The 22,212-nt window shown below is 59.1% G+C and overlaps 1 protein-coding gene across 7 annotated transcripts in view, besides 1 other annotated feature; it reads right to left on the reverse strand.

Annotated features, from left to right (window-relative positions):
- AP3D1 (adaptor related protein complex 3 subunit delta 1) overlaps nucleotides 588–22,212 on the reverse strand; it is a 63,629-nt gene continuing 42,004 nt past the window's right edge. For 3 of the 7 annotated variants that reach the window (XM_047439598.1, NM_001374799.1, XM_047439599.1), the window contains 21 exons: nucleotides 21,334–21,479; nucleotides 20,763–20,911; nucleotides 20,462–20,692; nucleotides 18,201–18,432; nucleotides 16,822–16,967; nucleotides 16,205–16,346; nucleotides 15,807–15,878; nucleotides 15,138–15,213; nucleotides 14,819–15,018; nucleotides 14,348–14,421; nucleotides 13,725–13,902; nucleotides 12,936–13,013; nucleotides 12,460–12,531; nucleotides 11,279–11,428; nucleotides 10,885–10,932; nucleotides 10,307–10,496; nucleotides 9,736–9,824; nucleotides 9,473–9,558; nucleotides 8,686–8,807; nucleotides 8,287–8,366; nucleotides 588–1,868 (listed from right to left, as the gene is read on the reverse strand). In XM_047439598.1, the coding sequence (XP_047295554.1) occupies nucleotides 1,773–1,868; nucleotides 8,287–8,366; nucleotides 8,686–8,807; nucleotides 9,473–9,558; nucleotides 9,736–9,824; nucleotides 10,307–10,496; nucleotides 10,885–10,932; nucleotides 11,279–11,428; nucleotides 12,460–12,531; nucleotides 12,936–13,013; nucleotides 13,725–13,902; nucleotides 14,348–14,421; nucleotides 14,819–15,018; nucleotides 15,138–15,213; nucleotides 15,807–15,878; nucleotides 16,205–16,346; nucleotides 16,822–16,967; nucleotides 18,201–18,432; nucleotides 20,462–20,692; nucleotides 20,763–20,911; nucleotides 21,334–21,479 (2,657 nt within the window). In that variant the 3' untranslated portion in view covers nucleotides 588–1,772. Of the gene's footprint in view, nucleotides 1,869–8,286; nucleotides 8,367–8,685; nucleotides 8,808–9,472; nucleotides 9,559–9,735; nucleotides 9,825–10,306; nucleotides 10,497–10,884; nucleotides 10,933–11,278; nucleotides 11,429–12,459; nucleotides 12,568–12,935; nucleotides 13,014–13,724; nucleotides 13,903–14,347; nucleotides 14,422–14,818; nucleotides 15,019–15,137; nucleotides 15,214–15,806; nucleotides 15,879–16,204; nucleotides 16,347–16,821; nucleotides 16,968–18,200; nucleotides 18,433–20,461; nucleotides 20,693–20,762; nucleotides 20,912–21,333; nucleotides 21,480–22,212 lie in introns of all 7 variants that reach the window. The other 4 variants (XM_047439597.1, NM_001261826.3, XM_017027422.2 and 1 more) reach the window with 2 other exon arrangements.
- Nucleotides 4,109–4,281: a silencer, noted in NCBI's record as "fragment chr19:2104508-2104680 (GRCh37/hg19 assembly coordinates)". NCBI's record gives its function as "represses an EF-1alpha promoter that drives an FKBP-Casp9 reporter gene in an ReSE screen in phorbol 12-myristate 13-acetate-treated (for megakaryocytic differentiation) K562 erythroleukemia cells {active_cell/tissue: K562(+PMA)}" and the evidence as "EXISTENCE:reporter gene assay evidence [ECO:0000049][PMID:32094911]".

The following is a 22,212-nucleotide window of genomic DNA, read 5'->3' on the forward strand; positions in this document are numbered from 1 at the left end:
GCTGGGTCCTGGCTGTGAAGGATGCTGCTTTCGAGGCCGGCAAGCGTGTTTAGGTAACGGCAAAGAGGCTCGCGGCAGGTGCTTTCAAGGCATGGTTTTCTAGAAAGGATGCTGGTGTGGGCCGGGGCTGGGGTCCCGTCTGTGCTGCTCTGAGCCCCCTGACATCCAACGCCCGCCACCACGGCCGCGTCTTGGGTTAGAGTGGACAGGGGCTTCCCTTCACTGACCCAGCGTCACCTTGCTCGAGGCTCCCGTCTTCAAGGTGTAAGGCTGGTGTAAAGGAGGCAAATTCACCCAGGGGTGGGGTGGCTGCTCTTCCGCGGTTCTCAATTCTGGATCTGCCCCTGCCCCGGGGGCTCCTGGGGAAGGGGAGGGAAAGCAGGCACCTGCTCCCCTGCACGGCCTTGGGTGGAGATGCTGGGGACCGAGGCCACCACGGGGTGGGGGACTCCCTGGCCTGTGACTGCCCGAGCCCCAGGCCTGGATGGTGCTGGGGACCGAGGCCCCCTCCCAAGGGCCCGTGAGCTGAGGTGCAGAGGCTCCAGTCCTGCAGCGCTGCATGACCCAGGCCAGGCAGAAGACCCATGTGGAAATGCCTGTTTTACAACTTTATTGGATCATCTTGACACAAAATCATGACAGCAGCGTGATATGTCTCTCTCTTTATACGGGAATGTCGATAGCAAATAAATTCTTATGTAACACATCATACAATTTCAAATCCTGGAATCACTGCATGGGATTCTGTAATGGATTACATGCTAAAGTGACAGTTTTCATCAAAAGGAGAAGATAAAATGTCATTATCTCTGAAGAAGGGTCAGTCCTGTGCCCACGCTGGCCGTGGGGAGTGAGCGGAGTCTCCTTGCCCTGCCTGGTGGGGGCTCTGCCTGTGAGGTGGCTCTCACAGGTCCTGCCCAAGGGCACTGGGCACACTCCTTCAACACAGAACAGCCCAGGTCCGCTGCTTCCAGGCCCTGCCTGGGCCTTCCTAAGGGTGCTGGGAAGGATGTGGGGAAACCTTGGTGCGCATAGTGGCAAGCAGGGGATGCGGACCACCCCAAACCCAAGCCGAGATGCACTTCTGCTGACCAGGAAGACGGGTGGCAGAGAGGCCTCAACCCACCCCGTCCACGGTTCTGACTGCAACCTCTCTTTGGCGTCCCTGGCCCCGCCCTGCCCACAGCCTGGCTGGCGCGTGGCCTGGGATCCCAAGACCCAGTCACCAGCCCACGAGCACACTGACAATGGACAACGCCTGGCAAGACCGCTTTCCCACTGTGGGTTCTGGGAGAGAAAACCTTGGCGACAGCGGCCCTTCCTTCCCCTCCCCCGGACGCAACCGTCAGGACCTTTGGGTCAAAAGCAGGCGACCCCAGAGGAGGCCACGTCAGCCCCGCCCTGTCCACCAAGTGCCCCTCACGTGGTGCCCATCAGGCCCTGGCCCAGGACAGGAGCCCCTGAAGCCACATTCAAGGACTCGGCCCCCAGCGCGGGGCAGGGCACAGACCCAGGTGGGGGAGTCCCTTGCTGGTTTGGGGGCGAGAAGGGGACTTCTTGCCAAAGAGAATGGGAAGAGTCACAGTAAAAAAGGATGGTCAGATAATTCAACGCAACAAATGACCTCGGATGTCTACACGGCGGACAACATAGAGTTAAATTAACACTCAGGCTTGGGTACAGTACACACGACTGAGGAGAGGCGAGACACGTCAGGGCTGCGGTCCCTGGGTACGTGCTCCGCGGGGTGGTGCGGGGCTCGCAGGCAGCTCTCAACACTTGGCCAGCGTCGCCTTCATCTCTTCTAACAAGTTGCTCAGTAGCGTGGAGTCACTGCACTTCCCGTCGACTGAGACAGAGTTCTCACCCTGTGTAAGGAAAAAAGATGGATATTTTAAAAGTGTGTGCAGGGGCTAGGCACGGTGGCTCAAGTCTGTGATCCCAGCATTTTGGGAGGCCAAGGTGGGTGGATCACCTGAGGTCAGGAGTTCAAAACCAGCCTGGTCAACACGGTGAAACCCTGTCTCTACTAAAAATACAAAAAATGGCCGGGTGCGGTGGCTCACGCCTGTAATCCCAGCACTTTAGGAGGCTGAGGCAGGCAGATCACCAGGTCAGGATATTGAGACCATCCTGGCTAACAGGGTGAAACCCCGTCTCTACTAAAAATATAAAAAATTAGCCAGGCAGGGTGGCGGGTGCCTGTAGTCCCAGCTACATGGGAGGCTGAGGCAGGAGAATGGCGTGAACCCGGGAGGTGGACCTTGCAGTGAGCCGAGATCGCGCCACTGCACTCCAGCCTGGGCGACACAGCGAGACTGTCTCAAAAAATAAATAAATAAATAAATAAATAAATAAATAAATAAATAAATAAATAAATAAAATAAAAATAAAAAATGTGCCGGGCATCGTGGCAGGACACCTGTAATCCCAGCTACTTGGGAGGCTGAAGCAGGAGACTCTCTTGAACCCAGGGGGTGGAGGTTGCATGTGAGTTGAGATCATTCCACCACACTCCAGCCTGGGCAACAAGAGCAAAACTCCATCTCAAAAATAAATAAATAAAAGTACATGCAGGCCAGGCCGGATGGCTCATGCCTGTGGTCCCAGCTATGCGGGAGGCTGAGGCGGGAGGGTCGCTTGAGCCCAGGAGGGTGAAGTTGCAGTGAGCCGTGTTTGCACCACTGCACACCAGCCTGGGCGATAAGAGTGAGTTCCTACCTCAAAAAAATTAAAAAACAAACAAAAAAACACTATGTGCAAATATTGCCTCGCAGCTGTATGTGTTGTCCTTTTAATTTTGCGAATTTGCTAATTATTAAAAAAAAAAATGGGAAGGGCTCGGGTGAGGGAGCGGCCCAAGGCACCTGGGTCTCCCGTGGGAGGGGCTCCAGCCTACATAGAAGTGGGAGCCGGCACCTGAGGGCCCTGAGGCAGCCAGAGGCAGCCGGGGATGAAGACCAGAATCCGAAGAGCTCCTGAGCTAGCAGACAGTTGAGCACTGTCTGTCCTTCCGCCCTCCTGCCACTGGGCCCCTGAAGTGACTGTGGAAGAAGCCAGTGGAGTGGGGTAACCAGAGCCCCCAGAGAGGGAGGTACGCGGGGAAAGCCACCCCGTGAAGCTGCTCACGATCTGCTAGGCTCACTCCATGCTGCGGATCCCGTTCCAAAGAGCAACCGAAGGCACTGAGTCCAGAGGCCGCTGCCGGGTCCCAAGGCCAGGGACAAGAGGCAGCACTGACAGGAGAGGCTGGGCAGGTGGTGGTGTGCTTGGGGCCACAGTCCCCAGAAGGCAGGGGGGACTTGCAGCTGGGACCTGACCACCCACGTCCTCCACAGGATGGAACAAGGCCCAGAGGCTCACAGCACTCCACGGAAAACGACCAGGAGAATCCACTCATACAGAGAGGCCCTCGGCAGACCCCAGTGCCAAGACCCCAGTGCCAAGGCACCAACACCAAGACACCAGTGCTAAGGCACTAATGGCAAGGCCGTCGGTAGACCCCAATGCCAAGATCACATCACCCAGATGCCAACACCAAGGCACCAATGCCAAGGCCATCAGCAGACCAAACACCAAGACACTAACACCCAGACCCTAATGCTGAAGCACCAATGCCAAGACCCCACGCTCAAGACCCCAACACCAAGGCCGTGAGCAGACACCAACACCAAGACACCAACACCCAGACCCCAACGCCGAGGCACCAACTCCAAGACGCCAACACTCAGACCCCAACGCCAAGACACCAACACTCAGACTCCAACACCGAGACACCAACGCTGAGACCGCAACACCGAGACACCAACACTGAGACTCCAACACCGAGATGCCGAAACCCAGACCCCAACACCGAGGCACCAACTCCAAGACGCCAACACCCAGACCCCAACGCCAAGACACCAACACGCAGACCCCAACACCCAGACCCCAATGCCGAGACCGCAACACTGAGACGCCAACACCCAGACCCCAACGCCAAGGCACCAACTCCAAGACGCCAACACCCAGACCCCAATGCCGAGGCACCAACTCCAAGATGCCAACACCCAGACCCCAACGCCAAGACACCAATGCCCAGACCCCAACACCAAGACACCAATGCCCAGACCCCAATGCCAAGACACCAACACCCAGACCCCAACGCCAAGACACCAATGCCAAGGCCATTGGCAGAAACCAACACGAAGACCCCAACGTGCAGACCCCAACACCAAGGCCATCAGCGTACCAAGGTGGACGGACACTAGGACTCTCTGACACAAGTTTTTTTTTTTTTTTTTTTTTTTGGAGTCTCACTCTGTTGCCCAGGCTAGAGTACAGTGGCACAATCAGGGCTCACCGTAGCCTTAAACTCCTGGGCTCAAGAGATCCTCCCACCCCAGCCTCCCAAGTAGCAGGGACTACAGGCTCACTGTACTAATTTCTTAGTACTGGCTAATTTTTTTAATTTTTTGTAGACCTGGGGTCTTGCCATGTTCCCAGGCTGATCTTGACCTCCAGGGCTCAAGCGATCCTCCTGCCTCAGCCTCCCAAGTAGCTGGGACCACAGTCACACACCACCATGCCCAGCTGGCCTAAGCTTTAAAGTAGCTGTTAGGAAAATGCTCCAACAGATCACCAGGGCATCAGCAAAGACATGGAAGATACAAGAAGGGCCCAGTGGGAATTTCAGACCTGAAAAATAAGACCCTCCCTGTGTGGGCTCAATGGCAGAACAGCTAGGACGAGGCAGACTGGTGAGCTTGGCAAGAGAGCAACAGCCATGAACCCATCTGAATACGGCCTCTGGGGCGTGAGGGGCAGCAGCCCAGGCTGGGGAGGTGTTGGGAGCAGGCCCCCCAAAATCTGGCCATAAACTGACCCCAAAACTGGCCATAAACAAAATCTCTGCAGCACTGTGACATGTTCATAATGGCCCTAACGCCCACGCTGGAAGGTTGTGGGTTGATGGGAATGAGGGCAAGGAACACCTGGCTGGCCCAGGGTGGAAAACCACTTAAAGGCATTCTTAAGCCACAAACAATAGCATGAGCGAGCTGTGTCTTCAGGGCGTGTTCCTGCTGCAGTTAACTAGCCCAACCTATTCCTTTAATTCGGCCCATCCATTCGTTTCCCGTAGGGGATACTTTTAGTTAATTTAATATCTATAGAAACAATGCTAATGACTGGCTTGCTGTTAATAAATGTGGGTAAATCTCTGTTCGGGGCTCTCAGCTCTGAAGACTGTGAGATCCCTGATTTCCCACTTCACACCTCTGTATTTCTGTGTGAGTGTCTTTAATTCCTCTAGCGCCACTGGGTTAGGGTCTCCCTGACCAAGCTGGTCTCGGCAGGGAGGAAGTGTGCAGCACCCAAAAAGCAGCAACAGATCAGCTCCAGCCGCCTCAGGCCCAGCAGAATGGCTGCCGTCAGCCGGGCGCGGGGGCTCGTGCTTCTAATACCAGCACTTTGGGAGTCTGAGGCAGGCGGATCAGGAGTTTGAGACCAGCCTGACCAACATGGTGAAACCCTGGAAACCCCGTCTCTACTAAAGAGACAAAAAGATTATCCAGGCGTGGTCGTGGGCACCTGTAATCCCAACTACTCAGGAGGCTGAGGCAGGAGAATCGCTTGAACCCGGGAGGAGCTGCAGTGAGCTGAGATCGCACCACTGCACTCCAGCCTGGGCGACAGAGCGAGACTCCATCTCAAAAAAAAAGAATGGCTGCTGTCAGCACGATGACGACAGGTGAAGAAACAGGGCCTCCTGCACGGCAGCAGGCGGGAAACAAAGTGCAGCACTGGGGAAGACAGTCTGGCAGCTCCTCAAAACCTCAAACGTGGCATTACCACAGGACCCAGCAATCACACTCCCGGGTGTATATTCAGAACAAATGGGCTCACTCCTGCAATCCCAGCACTTTGGGAGGCCGAGGCAGGCAGATCACCCGGGGTCAGGAGTTCCACATCAGTCTGGCCAACCTGGCAAAACCCCATCTCTACTAAAAATACAAAAATTAGTGGGGCGAGGTGGCATGTGCCTGTAATCCCAGCTACTCAGGAGGCTGAGGCAGAAGAACTGCTTGAACCTGGGAGGCGGAGGTTGTGGTGAGCCCTTGGCTCCACTGTACTCTAGCCTGGGTAACAGAACAAGACTCTGTTTCCAAAACAAAAAAATAAAAAAAAACAAAAGTACTGAAGGCAGGGACTCCAACAGTTATTTGTTTAACAACAATGTTGATAGCAGCACAATTCACAACAGCCAGAAGGTGGGAGCAGCGATGGATGAGTGGACACACAGCATGGTCCATCTGTACAACAAAATATGATTCTGCTGTGAAAAGGAAGGGAATCCTGACAGAGGCTGCGATGTGGATGCACCTTAAGGACATGAGGTGTAATAACAGCAGCCAGACACAGAAGGATACATTCCGTGTGGTTCCACTCCTAGGAGGTCCCTAGAGCCATCAGATTCACAAAGACACAAAGTAGAATACATGGTGCCAGGGGCTGGGGAGGCAACGGGGAGTGAGTGTTTCATGGGAGGCAGTGAATCAGGAGAAAACTGAACATTAGGAATGAAAAGAACAGCAATGACAGGCCGGACGCAGTGGCTCACACCTGTAATCCCAGCACTTTGGGAGGCCGAGGCAGACAGATCATGAGGTCAGAAGATTGAGACCATCCTGGCTAACATGGTGAAACCCTGTCTCTACTAAAAATACAAAAAATTAGCCGGATGTGGTGGCGGGCGCTTGTATTCCCAGCTACTGCGGAGGCTGAGGCAGAATGGCATGAGCCCGGGAGGCGGAGCTTGCAGTGAGCCGAGACCGCGCCACTGCAGTCCAGCCTGGGCGACAGAGTGAGACTCCATCTCAAAAAAAAAAAAACAAAGCAAGGGTATCAAAACCACAACAGACCTCTAGGAACGGAATGCTGAGTAGTGAACATGAGCCAGAAGAAGGCAGAGAAGCGAAAGAAACACGTGCAAACTGGAAATCCTCAGTATGCTCCCAGAGGGCACTGGAACCAAACCGGACATCAAGAAAAATTGGTTGTTTGAAAAGTGCAATAAAGGCCGGGCGCGGTGGCTCAAGCCTGTAATCCTAGCACTTTGGGAGGCCGAGGCGGGCAGATCATGAGGTCAGGAGATTGAGACCATCCTGGCTAACACGGTGAAACCCTGTCTCTACTAAAAATACAAAAAATTAGCCGGGCGTGGTGGCAGGTGCTTGTAGTCCCAGCTACTTGGGAGGCTGAGGCAGGAGAATGGCGTGAACCAGGGAGGCGGAGCTTGCAGTGAGCTGAGACTGCACCACTGCACTCCAGCCTGGGCGACAGAGCGAGACTCCGTCTCAAAAAAAAAAAAAAAGAAAAGTGCAATAAAATGGTTCTACCCAGGAGAACCAGGAAAAAAGAGACACAAACCGTGACCATCAGAACGGAAAGTGACCCGGTATCATCACAAGGAGCAGCGCGAATACGGCACGCACCGCCACGCGTCAACTCAGTGACTGATGATTCCTTGCGCTAATTCTTTGAAAAGTACAAAACTACCAAACTCACCCAACGTGAACGGTAACTTGGGGATTCCTACAACTGTTAAAACAAAAAACTGAGGATGTAGCTAAAAGCCTGCAGAAAAGGAACTCCCCAGGCCCGATGGTTTTCTGGTGAATTCTGTATACACATTTCTTTCTAAGGAAGAAATGCCACTTATCACACAGTCTGCCCCAAAACAGAGAGGACACACTCTACTGCACGTCTGATGAAGCCACTGGATGACAAAACCAAAGAAGCCACCAGAAAAGAAAACTAAAGACCCAACTCCTCATATACAGACACAAAAGCCCTCAACAAAATATTCACACACTGCGTTTGGCAGTCGACACACTGCGAAGACAACCACCCTGCAGTACTCAGGAGAGGGAGGCCCGGAGCGGAGGGAGCGAGGAGTCATTCTAGAAGCGCAGCAGTGAGAGGTGGAGAGTCCGACCCCAGGGCCTTGGCTGCCTTGTGCACAGGGGTGGGGTGGTGGGCAGGAGTGCAGTGGGAGTGGGGCCCCTGGAGCCATGTGTCAGCCTGCGGTGAGCAGCGCAGCAGGAGGCAGAAGCCCTGTCTTGCTGAGGGAGAGTCTGTGCTGCTGAGTGGGGCTGGCACAGGTGAGGGGCTCATGGCAGCAGTGCTGCCATCACTGTCCTCGAGCCCTCTAAGTCCCAAAGCGCGCCTCTGGGGATGAAGGCCTGGGCATGACCCCAGGAGAGGTGGCAGGAGCCAGGGTGTGCACAGCAGCCCGAGGCTCACCTTTTTCACCAGGAGGCAGACATGGTGGCCCTGGATGGAGCGGCTGTACATGGAGGCGCAGGAGTCCACTCGCTCCACAACTGCAACAGAGCGGGCAGTGTTAGGCTTCCCGGACATTGCATGGCTGCAGCCCCACCCCCAGAGCAGGGGCCACCTTCTTGGGCTGCCCTTGGCCACAGCTTCAGGAGGCCTGTAGGAGCAGGGTGTGGCCCTGAGAGGCCTGGGGTGTGGGGAATGCAGCCCCCGCACCAGCTCCCAGGCCTCGGGGCCACCAGCCACCCGGGATCCCAAAGGGTGTGAGTTTGGGTGGGAGGGCCACAGGCCCGGCTCCAATAGGAAGGGACAGCTGCCGCGTGCGTGAAAGCCCCGTGCAATCCATCAGCCCCTCACTCTCCTTACCGGAAAAATGGTGGTGAAAACAGATCTTCGCCAGAAGATTCTGGAAGGACATCCGAATGCCATCGACTTTGATTGAGCTCATGCTCAAGTCCCCAGACTCCAGCAACTTAGCAAAGGCGTCACTGTGGGAGGGACAGGGAGGCTGACTGCGGTGGGGCCGGGCTCCTCAGGCTTCCTGGCACAGAGGCCAACAAAACCTGCCACACACGCTGCGCTTGGACACCCTCCTGTGTGTCTGGGCCGGGAGGTCTTGGGGGTCCTGGAAGGTGTGGCTCATTTTCATGTGCGGAAGCCGTCACACCCAGAAACTGACAATGACTTGTCTTTAAAGAGGTCACAGAGGTGCCTGAAGCCATGGGATGGGCCCTCCTCCGACAAGGACGGATGTCCTGTAGGAAGGGACTGGGGGGATAGGCTAGGATGCAGGCACGCAGAGGACGGCCTGTGAGGACTCAGGGGGGAGGGGGTGCCGCACGCCAAGCCGTGCCGAGGAGAGGCTTCAGGAGGAGCCTGCCCTGCTGGCTCCTTGGTCTCACCCCTCCAGCCTTCAGGACTTCCAGGGGCCTGGACCTCTATGGGTGACGCTGCCTGGCCTGTGGCTTCAACTACACGGCCCCGGCTGGCGCAGACACCAGGCAGCCTGACCTGCACCAGTCACGAGCCAGCGCCTCCAAATCCGTCTCTAAAGTCCTGCCCAGAAGCCTCAGTCCCCGGGGCACAGGTGTCTGCAAGGTAGAGGGGAGGCGGAGGGGGTTCGGGGACATAGGGGAGTGGGCCTGGGCCCCACCTGTAGCAGGGAGTGGTGATCAAGTAGGAGCTGCAGCTGAAGTGCAGCCTGAAGTCCAGCTTCTCGTGGGTCGCACCCTCGTCATTCTGCGGTGGAGTGAAGGTGGTGCAGTTGAGAGGGGAGTCGGGCCCAGCTCAGGGCTCAGGGTTCCCCAGGCAGGTGGCCCACTTCCCCTAGGGACACCTGGACACCCACTGCGATGGGGCAGGAGGAGCCCCTGCCTGCAGAGTCGGCTCTTCAACGCCAAGTGGAGCCCTGCATACCTTGGCAATGAAGGACAGGGTCCCCTTGAGCTTCTGCGCCATGACGATGCTCTGGATGGTGAACACATACTGGGCTTCGTTGGAGACGCCTGGCGGGGGCGAGAGGGAGTGGGGCCTGAGACGCTGCGGGGGCTCAGCATGGGTGGGGCCTCCAGGTCTGTCCTCAGTCCCAAGTCCTCTGTGGCTGATTAGGAAACTGAGCTCAGCCCCCAAGGGAGCACCAGGGGACAGGAGCAGAAACAAGAGGCTACTGGTGTCCCTAATTTGGCCTGGACTTGGTCCCATCCCTGTTTCAGAGGGCAGACTTGGCCACTGGAACCGTGGAACCCAAGAAGGCCCCAGAATCCAGCCCCCAGCACAACCCTTGGGACTCTAGCCAGGTCCATCCGAGGCCATTGCGCTTCTCAGAGAGCTGTGGCGAGACCCCGACACTCAGGAGGTACTGAGGTGCAGCCTGGGGACAAAGGGGACATGGGGAGGAAGCAACAAGAACCAGCGGATCCGGGCAGTCACCAGCTGCCACTGCGCTCCCACAGTCCCCAGGAGAGGCCGTGAGTGGGGCAGGGCTCACCTGGGGGCAGCTGGAAAGGCACGGGGACGCCATCGTGGACGGAGGAGCCCTGCGGCCGGGCCATCCTGGCATTGAGTGAGTCCAGCACGCTGAGCTCCATGCCCTTGAGGATGCTGCTGCTCCTGTTCTCCAGCACGATGGCCACAGTGACCTGGCTGTCCTCCTGCAGACTGCCCCGGATGTCACAGGTCTGCAGGGCATGGCCAGTGTTAGCAGGGCAGGCGGGCCCGCCACAGGGAACAGGCACAGCCACCTGTCTCTTAATGACCACAGAGGCAGCAGGGGTCCCACAGGCACAGGAAGGCACGGAGAGGGGCGCCCCCTAGCCGCAGGCCAAGCGCCTCCTATGGCTGCTCTTTGAGTGCATGGCGGGGACCCTCCTGCCAGTCCAAGTCTCAGGGCATGTCTCCAACCTTACCCCAAGCCAGAGGTGCTGCCCAAGCAACGCCCCTGCCAGGAATCACAGGCCCTGGGTATACCAACATCCGGGAGCTGTGGGGGCTGCCCGGGTTCCGCGCGATCCCATGCCAAAGAGTGTGGGCTGGCCCACCCTGCCCCTGGGAGCGGCTGCCACTCACCATTTTAACATAGGAATTTTCAGCGAGGAGGGAGTAGCTGGACTCAGGCTGGAAATAGAAAAGGCGCATCAGCCTTGGGGGCCCCGAGCTCCGTCTCAGCGAAGACTCCAGTATGGCCCAATACCCCAGGTCGAATGCCACGACTCCAAGAATGCTTGGGGCAAGGGGCTTCAAAGGAGCCGATGAGGGATCCCCGGCTCCCAGGACCACACAGCCCACCACGGGGGTGCCTAATGTGGGGCTGCGGGCCAGGGCCAGTCCCCTGCCCCCGCCAGGCTCGGCTTCTTCTCGAATCTGCTCAGTTCTCTCCCGCATGGAGGCTGCAGGAGTGGGGAGCAGCGCACAGCCCGCCAGGAACCCCGGCGTGGGGCGGGGGCGCTGAAGTACCCCTCACCGGGAGCTGCTCCTCCTCTGGCGCGCCATTCTGCACCGGCTCCCCCGCTGCCTCCTCGCTGCCTGGAGGCTGCTTCTTGGACTTCTTCTTGCCTTTGGTCCGCTCCTCCTTCTCCTTCCTGTGCTTCTTCTTCTTAGGCTTGGGAGATTTCTGGAGCAAGAGGAGGGTCGGGTTCAGTGCCCAGGCTGCTCCAGCACGCCCCCATCACAGTGTGAGGTCAGGATCACAGCAGGGCTGCTCAGGCTGAGGGTCCCACGTGCCTGGGTGGGATGGCAGGACCAGCCACGCCTCAGGCCTACCGGGACAAGCTCAGGCCAGACCAGGCCCAGCGGAGGCTGGGGCCGTCTCTGGTTGGCGGCAAGCGCCAAAGCAGCCCGGGGAACAGTCCCCACCGACCAGGGAGCCATGCAGGGCAAACCAGTGAGGACACCACACTTGACGCAGCAACCCCACGCCCATGTGCACATCCGAGAGGGAACACACACATCCACGCGCACTGCGCAGATGTTCAAAGCGGCATACTGTGTCACCACAAAGGGGAAGCGGCCCAAGTGGCTATCAACAGATGAGTGGGTCAGCACAGTGTGGCCCATCCGCGGAGGAACGGGGTCAGCAGAGGGTGACCTGTCCACGCACTGGAACATGACCCGGCCACGAACAGGAACCAGGCTCTGACCCAAGCCATAGTGTGGATGCACCTTGAGGACATCACACTCAGTGAGACGCCACACACAAAAGACCACACGGTGTATGACCCCATTTCTATGAAATGTCCAGGACACACTGATCCACAGAGACAGGAAGGGGATGCGTGGGTGCCAGGGCAGGGAAGGGAGTGAGAAGTAACGGCTGGTGGGAATGGAGCTTCTTTAGGGGTCATGGAAAGTTCTGGAACTAGACAGAGGTGATGATGGTTGCACAACTCTGTGAATATACAGAAAACCACTGTATACATACTTCAAATGAATAAACTCTATGAGACTTATGAACCATGTGTGAATAAGAAGGTTATTAAAAAAACACAAGACCACAACCACAACAAAAGGCCCGTGAGAACGCCAACACAAATGCGAGAGCAGGGCTGCCCTGGGACCTGGGTGGCGGAAGCTGTGTCCGGCCCCACGTTGGGGTGCTGGGGCTCATGCAGCCCTCCACAGCCCCTGGGGGAGTGACAGCCTCACCTTGTCCTGGTCTTGCCCCTCGGCATCGTCCTCCTCGCCCTGCGCCTCCGTCTTGGCGTCCTCACACTCGTCCTTCGGGGTAGTGACAGTGTTCACACTGAGCTCCCCCTGCAGGGAGCCAGGGCTTGGGGCTCATGCTGGGCAATGAGGGGCCCCACTCCACTGCACCCCAGACAGCCTCCATGCCACACACCCTCAGCTTGCCCTCACGCCTGCCTGAGAGGCCACAGTGCCCTCCGAGTGACAGGGAGCCTGTGAGCACAGAGGCCCTGGCTGTCCTCCCCTTCCCCTGGCCCCTGCTTGGCCCACTGGGACCCGGGAGCATGACCCCGGCTCCACTCAGTGCTGGGTCCCACAGGTGCACGGTGCTGACCGCGAGAGCACAGGGCCTCAGGAGACCCAGGGCTCTTCCCTGAGTGCCAGGTATGACCTCTGCAGACACCGAGGCTGGCACTGGCCAGCTGCCAGTCTCTTACCGTGGATGGAACGGGGGCGGGGGCGGGGGCGGGGGCAGGCGGTGGGGTGGTAGACAGCCAGAAGTCCAGGTCCTCAGCCTGAAACCACAAGACAGGCTGTCAGCAAACGCAGTGCAATGGTCCTGGGAAGAGGGGACGGGGACAGCAGGGCCAAGGAGGCCCCAGCTGCCCTCGCTGCCCCCAGGGTCCTGGACTAGCTGGGCCTTGCAGAGCCTGGGAATCCAGGAGCTGAAGGCGATGTCCTCAGCCAGCCCTGCTGGCTCTGGCTTTCGCTGCCAGAAGAGGGCCGGGGACAAAGCTGTGGGTGGGTGTGTGCCATTCCAGTGGTCAGAAGGCCCGTGGCGGCCCATATGTCTTATGTCTGCCTGGGCCACCTGACGTGGGTGTGGACAGGCTCCCAGGCCCTGCAAACACATGCTCCTTTGAAAAACCCATTTCTTTCTCTATGTGAAAATCTGCACACAGACACTGCAGAAACGGTTCTGGAGCTGCACGTGAGGGTGGCATCTGGACCACGCCGAGCTCTGACCATGTCCCCCCAACACAGGTGAGGACACGGCTCACCCATGGGATCGTTGGGTCCTCCTCAGTCTCCCCTGACACAAGTGCACAGTCAGCTCCCCTCAGAAGCCACATGTCCTCACTCCGCCGGGGCACAGGGCGAGGCGGCTGGCACTCGCTGCCTGACTCAGACTCACAGCCATTTCCCCTGAGCTCACCGCTGTCTCCTGGGAGTTCACGGCAAGGGAGGGGAATGGAGAAGGCCGCCGCCCTGGGCACTAGCCTTACCTTCTTCTCCTTCTCCTTCTTCTTCTCCTTGTCTCTCTCTTTCTCTTTGTGTTTTTTCTCTTTCTTCTTGGGTTTCTTGCTCTTCTTTTCTACCATGGGAACGTCCTTCTCAGGGGATTTTGAGGTCTCGGTGTTTCTGTGTTTCTGAATAGGCAGTTTCTCGCTGTCGGCTAAGGGCCTGGAGGAGGAATGACCGGGCCACACATCAGCACCACTGGCCACCCCCCAGGACCACTCAGTACATGCCGTGTCCAAGCATGTGGCAGTGCGGGACCTGCTCCTCCAGCCCCTGGCCCCAGCCATGGCCCAACATAGATCTACTCAACACAGCCTGCTGGAGGCTCTCATGGGAGGGTCTGTGGTGGCCACACCCTGCCCTGTCAAGGCATGGAGACCTCCCGAGCACCCCAGGCCTGGAGACTTCAGAGTCCACACTTAAGAGTCTTGGTTGGGAGGGCCAGCCAAGAGCAGTGCAGTGAGGACGTGGTCTGGGGAAGGCCCGCCCGCACCCCACCCCAGCCTGCCCACCCTGCAGAGCCCGGCCCCACCCGGAAGGGAGGACGAGAGGAAGGGAAGCAACCACATGTGGCCTCCACCCTCACCCTGAACCCATATGGACTCACTTATCCAGGTCAATATCCAGAGCCCTGTAGGGGTCGTTGGGGTCTTTGTCATCCTCGTCGCTGGGCAGAGCATTCTGACAGGAAGAGAGGAACCCCATCACTGGAACCCGCCCTTGTGGCCTGGTGGAACGCCATCTATCTGGGACGCAGTGGGACTGCCCATGCGGGCCACACGCACAGGTGGGCAGTGACGTGGCTCCACCAGAGGCTCCGCTCAGCGTCTAGGCACTAAGGGCGGCTGGGCCCCAGGACGCAGCCAACCTGCATCTGCCTCTGAAGCTGCTGGCCCTGGGGCGGTGCGTCGGGACGCGTGCTCGAGGACAGAGAGGCCTCTCCTCCTATGCTCTCCGGGGTGGGGCCTCATCCCAGCCACCAACGAAGACCATGGGGAGAGGCCACTGTGCATGGCCCCAGGACACACACATGCGGAAAGATAGACATCCTAGGACCGGGACCTCCAGCGAGGCTGACCTCAGGCATCTCCTCTGTGACGATGTCCACCTGCTGGGCAGGGGCGATGTCCTCGTCGCTCTCCGTGGGCAGCGAGCTGTGGCGGCGCTTGCCCTTCTTCTCCTTCTCCTTCCTCTTTTTCCTCCTCTTGTCCTTCTCCAGCTTCTGCCGGTGCCGCCGCTCCTCCTCCAGCTTCACATACTGATCTGACATAGGCAGCCCTGCGGGCCGGCAGCGGGCAGCCACTCAGCACTGCACCCCAGGGGCTCACGGGGAGGGCGGCGGGAGCACCCCACAGCCCATGTGACAAATGCGGCGCCGACACACCGGAGACACTTGCCTGGAACCTTCAAGGGGACGGAGAGGTCAATCTGCACCACGGGAATGTGCTCCACGCCCGGGGTGTCCTGGTACCGCTGCAAAGGCAACACCCAGGCGTTACCGGTGCACCGAGGGGTGACACACGTGCAAGACAAGCCTCGGGGATGCAGGGAGCGTGACGCAGCCCCAACATCCTAAGGAGCTGGGGTCCTGCCAGAGCCCTGGGCCGCGAGGAGCGCCGTGAGCGAGCGCATCCCGAGGACCCGACTCTTTAAGACAGTGAGGACTGGAAAGCTTGTCACACGAGTGACCCCACAGGCCTATGAGCAGAGAGAAGCAAATCCTCGTTCACTTTTTTTACGTGAATATTCTGTTTTCTCCTCAAATGAGAAAAGTAATGCGGCCTCAAGCCCAGAGTGAGGCAGCAGGTTGCCCACGACCGTGGGGTCAGGGCTGGACAGCAGCTGGGCTGCCAGGCGCAGGGAACAGGGCCCCCCGGCTGGAGGCTCGAATGAATGGGGCCCACAGGGAGGCGCCTGCCCCTCAAAGGCTCCGCACAGTCACCGTGTGGCCCCAGCTCCATTCCCAGGATCTTCCTGAGGGAACCCGAAACTCAGATGGATGCCGCGGGGCTCGGGTGGTGAGGGTAGAGGGTGCTGAGGGACAGGCACCCGGGGACGGGCCTCACCTTCTGTGGCGATGGCGAGCTCTTGATGTAGAAGGGGTTGTTGGCCTGCTCCTGCTTCCGGGCCTCTCGGCGCTGTGGGACACAGCTTGGCATGAGCCCGAGAGAAGCGGGCAGGATACCCCTCTGTGGACGTCCACCACCAGCCACCCAGCTGGGGAAGGCTGGATCTCTGGCTATTTTCACTACTGAGCTTTCACTAACAGGGAAACCAAGGCCCGCAATTGGGAAGAGCACGTATTGGGGGAAAAGGAATCGCTAACGCTCTGGGAGGCAGGGACGCCCATGCCTCCACTGCCAGGGTCAGGGCCAGGACCCACAGAGGCCGCTGACCTGCCTCAAAGACTCCCTGGGACAGGAGGGAGGAGACGAGGGCTCGCCAGGGGCAGCCAGCAGCTCACCCGAGCCAGCTCTTCCTCGTCCGCCTCCGACGGCCGGTGCTTGGGACGCCGCTGCTCCTCCTCGTGGAAGACGGCCCTGGGCCTCTCGTCCTCTGACTCGCTGTCCGAGAGTGGCTCATTGATCCAGGCGTCCAGGTCCAGGCTGCACCGGACAGGAGGGCCACACAAGGCAGTGTGTGACCGAGCACGCGCCTGCAGGCGTCCGCCCTGAGCAGGCTCACCACGTGCCTGGCCATGTGATATCCCAAACAGTGGGGCCTGCCACCCACACAGGGCCAGCGAGGCAGGTGTCACTGCCCCTTAAGAGGACGCAGGGACCCAGGAAGACTGCGGCAGGGTCACAGTGGGGCCCCCACGGCAGGCTCAGGCTGCCTCAGAGCTTTATGGCAAGGGTGGGAGCAGGCCCACTTCGCAGGGAGCATCCCCAGGCAGAAGCCAGATCCCAGAACCAGTGAGAGACCTGGTGAGTCCGTGTGAGGGATATACCCGCCTGAGGCCTCCAATCAGCCCCACACCCTCCTGGCTGTTCAGGGGTGCAGGAGCCCCCGCTGTGCCACCAGGCATCAAGGGACCATGTCAGGGCCATGGTTGCAATGCCCCCACCCCCGTATCCTTACCCTTCGGGGACTGGAACCTTCTTCTGGGCCTTGGGGGCCACTGGGTTCAGCTCCCCAGCAAAGAGAGCGCTGACCTCCTCTGCCACAGGCACGTCCTTGGCCTGAAGCTTCTGGATGTGCTTGACCAGCTGCAGGATGCAGGACGCCTGTGGGGGACACAGGGGTCACTGCTGGCACCTGCCCGGAAGGCCACTCGGCCACCTTCAGGGACACGGGGTGGCTCAGCCCCTGGCACAGTGACGTGTGGGCCCCCTGGTACAGCCACATAGCCACAGAGAGCCCAGCCTTCATGCCGTCTCTGTCGTCATCATCCTCGCCAGGAAGCGGCAGAAACAGACCAGTCCGGAAACAGAACAGAGATGGGGGCACAACAGGGAGCTTTGCCCACTGCAGAAATGCCTCCCATCAGGTCAGTGCCCCGACACCAGAAGCACCACCTCCCTCGGCCCCCGCGGGCTCCCCGCCTCTGTGCTGGCTCCAACTCAGACACAGCCAGGCTGGGCAGCTCCAACAGTGACCATGGGCCAAGGATCATGGCCAGCCCCGAGCTAATGCCACCGCACAGAGGAGCCCGGGGCCACGCCCCATGCAGCCTTGAAGCTGGGTCTCCTCAGCCATTGGACAGGCTGACGCCACTCCCGACCTCTCTCACAGATGGCCAGGTGCGATGGTTCACACCCGTAATCCTTGCACTTTGGGAGGCTGTGGAGTGTGGATCACCTGACGTCAGGAGTTTGAGACCAGCCTGGCCAACAAGGTGAAACTCCGTCTTTACTAAAAATACAAAAATTAGCCGGGCGTGGTGGCGGGTACCTATAATCCCAGCTACTAGGGAGGCTGAGGCAGAAGAATCCCTTGAACCCAGGGGATGGAGGTTGTCATGAGCTGAGATCGCACCACTTGACTCCAGCCTGGGCAAAGGAGTGAAACTCCATCTCGAAAAATCAAAACAAAACAAAAAACAAGCAGAAAAACAGACACCTGGGAAGTGGTGGGCACCGCCTGGCACAGGTGTACAGTCTGCTCAACCTAGAACCCACGTCACCTGCAGCCACCAGAAAGAGCCACTGCCAGCCCCAGGCTCTCACACCTGCTGTCTCGCCGCATGTGAAACAACCTCTTCCTGTGGCCAGGAGCAGCACCCTCACATACCCAGCACCCCAGAGACCTGCCCCAGTCCTACTGACGGATCCCCCGTCCTGCTGACCTCCAGGTCCCACTGACTAACCCCAAACCCCAGCTGGCACAAGTGGCAACAAAAGAATCTCAGTGAGTGGCTTCGGAAGAGGAAGCGAGGCCCCGTCGACCTGGCCGCCACTGGACAGAAAGGCACTGAGGGCTCCCTGAGGCTCGGCCCAACACGGAGTGTTGGATCTTACCCGCTCCTGCACCTCCAGGTCTGCGCTCTGCACAAACTGGGGCAGCCGGTCCACCATGAGCTGGGTGACGGCCTGAGCGCCCTCTGCCTCCCCGGCCTGCTCCTTCTGCTGCAGGATGGAGGCGTAGAGCTTGACCACGTTCTGCACATACACGGCCTGGATGTGGCCTGGCAGCGTGGTGACTCTGGGCCGCAGCATGGCCTCCAAAGTGTGGTGTGGTTCCTGCAGATGCCTGAGGACAGGAAACACTGTGAGCCCCCAGGATGCCAATCCCGGGGCTCCTCTCTAGCAGGTGAGGACCTAGGAGGCCTGGGCTCGTCACCAACAAGGTGACTCTGGGCCCTTCCCATTCCCTGAGCGGTCTCCAGGGGCTGAGACACGAAGTAGAAGAAACCACAGGCCGTCAACAGCCCGTAACACAAACAAGGCAGAGATGTGGAGATGACAGAGCCACTGAATGGAGGAAAGGTCAGAAGAGGAAAAAGGACAACGGGGTCAACTGTGCAGCTGGCCCTGGGAGGATAAGCAGGATGGGCAGGGAACAGACGGAACCGGGAGACCCTGATCTGTGGGACAGTGGGGCCTCGGGGTGCGCCTCACTGGCGTCTGACACAATGCCTTGGGACTTGAATATGTTTCTAGTCCACTTTTTTCCCAATAAGAAAATGATAGAAGTGGCCGGGTGTGGTGGCTCACGCCTATAATCCCAGCACTCTGGGAGGCCGAGGCAGGCAGATCACGAGGTCAGGAGTTTGAGACCAGCCTGGCCAACACGGTGAAACCCCATCTCTACTAAAAATACAGAAAGTGAGGGCGGGCACGGTGGCTAACGCCTGTAATCCCAGCACTTTGGGACGCCGAGGCGGGCGGATCATGAGGTCAACAGATCGAGACCATCCTGGCTAACACGGTGAAACCCCATCTCTACTAAAAAATGCAAAAAAAATTAGCAGGGCATGGTGGCGGGCGCCTGTAGTCCCAGCTACTTGCGAGGCTGAGGCAGGAGAATGGCGTGAACCCAGGAGGCAGAGCTTGCAGTGAGCCGAGATCATGCCACTGCACTCCAGCCTGGAAAACAGATAGAGCAAGACTCTGTCTCAAAAAAAAAAAAAAAAAAAAAAAAAGAGTTAAGAGACCAGCCTGGCCAACATGGTGAAACCCCATCTCTAATAAGAATACAAAAAAATTAGCCAGGCTTGAGCTTGGTGGCAGGTGCCTGTAATCCCAGCTACTCGGGAAGCTGAAGCAGGACAATCACTTGAACCCGAGAGGCAGAAGTTGCAGTGAGCCGAGATCACGCCACTGCACTCCAGCCTGGGCAAAGCTTGGGAGATAGCCAGACTCTGTCTCGGGGCGAGGGGAAAAAAAGAAAATGACAGAAGTGCTCATCTCCAGGATGCAGGCTGGCTGGGGACCCTTTCGGGATCCCAGAAGTCAGGCGCCTTCCTGAGCCGGGGCAGGCCCAGGGTGGGGAGTGCTCGGTGTGGCCGTGATGAGCAGCAGGTAGCGGCCAGTGGTGGTGATGGGGCCGGGCCCGAGGCAGTGAGGCATAGCAGCAAATCTCATAAATTTCCAAGAGAGCCTGGAAATCCAGACTGCTGTGAGAACCGTGAGTCTCAGCAACACATTCCCACCTCCAGGCAGGCCCGGTGACCCGAGCCTGCCCAGCAGTGGCTGTGATCTGTCCTCTTGGCCAGGGAGAACCTGACATTCCTGGAGACGGCAGGGGCAGTGTCGATAAGACCCATCCCTGCGGCCCACCTGGAACCTGGCACTGAGACCCCTGTGCCTCCAGAGGGGCCTGGCGCAGGCAGGCTGGGGCTGAGCAGGTGCCTCCCTGGGCCACCTAACTGCCACACGGAGCTCCCACCTCACCTACAGCAAACAGGGCTCAGAAGGGCTGCCACGCGCCCAGCTGGAACTGAGCCTTGCAGATGCCCAGGGCCAGCCCCCCGTCTGCAGCCCACCCCATGGATCCTCCCACCTCCCAGTCCTAGTGCCCACGGGATCTACAATCTCCTGGGAACGCCACAGATGCCCGAGGGCAGAGGGCAGACAGGGCAGCACAGACTCGCCTCTGTAAAGGGGGAATGGGCCCGACCATTGTCAGGGGACAGGTGCTGGAAACCCACGGACCTGCAAGACGGCCGGGGTGGCAGGGCGATGGGAGACGGTAGGAAGGATCTGCCAGGCACATCCCTGGTCCCTACCCCTCAGAAGCTTGGAGAAGCTGCCAGCCCAGAGGCCCAGCGCCCACTCACTCTGAGAACTCCCCGCAGATCCAGGCGGCAGCGTACAGCACCTCACAGATCCCGTTCCGCTGGGTGCTGCTGGCCAGCAGGTGTGCACTGTCAAGCAGCGCAGACATCTGGGACACGGCGAACTTGCGGATGGCCTTCACGCGGATGGCCACGTCCAGCATTTGGGCGGCGATGAGGTGGCCGTGCCGTGTGCCCTCCAGCCGGGTCAGCTCCACCAGGATGCTGATGTACCTGTGGGGCAGAGGCGGTGAGTGAGCGGCGCCACGGAACCCCCGGCCACACCCCTGGGAGCGGGACGCACCACTCGAAGTTGGTGATGTACTGGTAGTTGGACTGGCTGCAGATGTCAATGATCTTGGTGAGCAGCTCGTCACGGTAGGTGGTACCCTCTGCCTTGTCTACGTGGGTCATCAGCTTCTTCACGATCTCCATCAGGTTCTTCTTGGACACCTGGGCAAAAGTGTACAGACAGTGGTGAGAGCGGACCCAGCCTGGGGCCTGCTTGGTGAGACACCCAACACCTGCTCCTGAGACAGAATCCACGGGACACAGGCGGACCCGGATTCACAGATCGATGCCAGGGAGGCAGCAGGCCCCTGCGATGTGGGCTGGGTTAGAGGCACACGACCCCAGCCAGGGAGCAACAACTGGCCCAGCACAGTCTGTTCTGCAGGCTCGGCCCCGCCCCCTCCACACAGGCCCTGGAAGACAGGCATGGACCAGGACTGGCGCCCCTCTGCCCTGCCCCACCACACTAACTGATGGCCGAGTGTGAGGGGACTCCATGCATTCCACGTGGCTCTGCACCTGACACTTAATGTCCCTTAGAGAACTAAGGCCAGGCGGGCGGGCGGCGGACAGAGGGCACGCACCATCCCATAGAGCAGGTCCAGGGCCCGCAGCCGGATGGACTCGTCCTTGTCGTCCAGGCACTGCAGGATGAGGTCCTTGTGGGACTGCACGGACTTGGGGTGGGTCTTCAGGATCTTGGACATTGCCAGCAGCCCCAGGTACTTCACTGCAGAGAGAGGCCAGAGCCGGGTCACTGGGACGGACACAGGCAGCAGGGTGCAGGCAGGGCCCACGGCTCTCCGGGCCGGGTCTCCACCTCGGGAGGCTGCCTGGCCTTGGCAACCTGGGGGTGGACAGAGCAAGTATCCCAGCTGGAGCTCACCACGAGGGATGTCGCCCTAGCAGAGCCCCCTCCCTGGGAGCCGGGGTGCAGGCTGCCCCCATGCCGGCTCCCTCAGGAAGGCCTCCCCTACCTACTACCACGTTGTAGTAGCTGCTGTCAGCTCTCCTCTTCCCACCCAGCCAGTGCAGGGAAGAACGCAGAGAAGACTTTCCAGCAGCAGCAGCAGATACCCTTGGCCCAAGGCAGGGTCTCACCTGTACCCAGTACTCACTGTTCACCCGACTAGCCCAAACCAGCTCACGGACAGCTAAGGGTGGCTGGGCATGAGGCACAGATGCCACAACCTAAGCCAGGGCCACCCCAGCCACAGGGCACACAGCTGAACCCATTCACATACTGCCATCCACGGTGGCTTTCAGGCCACGGGGCAGCACTGAGCAGAGACAGACACCGTGAGGTCCACGGAGAAAACGCAGTAGTCCCCACCTACCCGTGGGGGATGGGCCCATGACCCCAGTGGAAGGCTGACACGGCGGGCGGTACTGAGACCCGCGTGTGGGTGTTTTTCTGACACGTCTGTGCCTATGGCGAAGTTCAGTGTGTACATTAGGCACAA

Source organism: Homo sapiens, chromosome 19 (assembly GCF_000001405.40).
Source record: "Homo sapiens chromosome 19, GRCh38.p14 Primary Assembly".
Classification (NCBI taxonomy): Eukaryota; Metazoa; Chordata; class Mammalia; order Primates; family Hominidae; genus Homo; species Homo sapiens.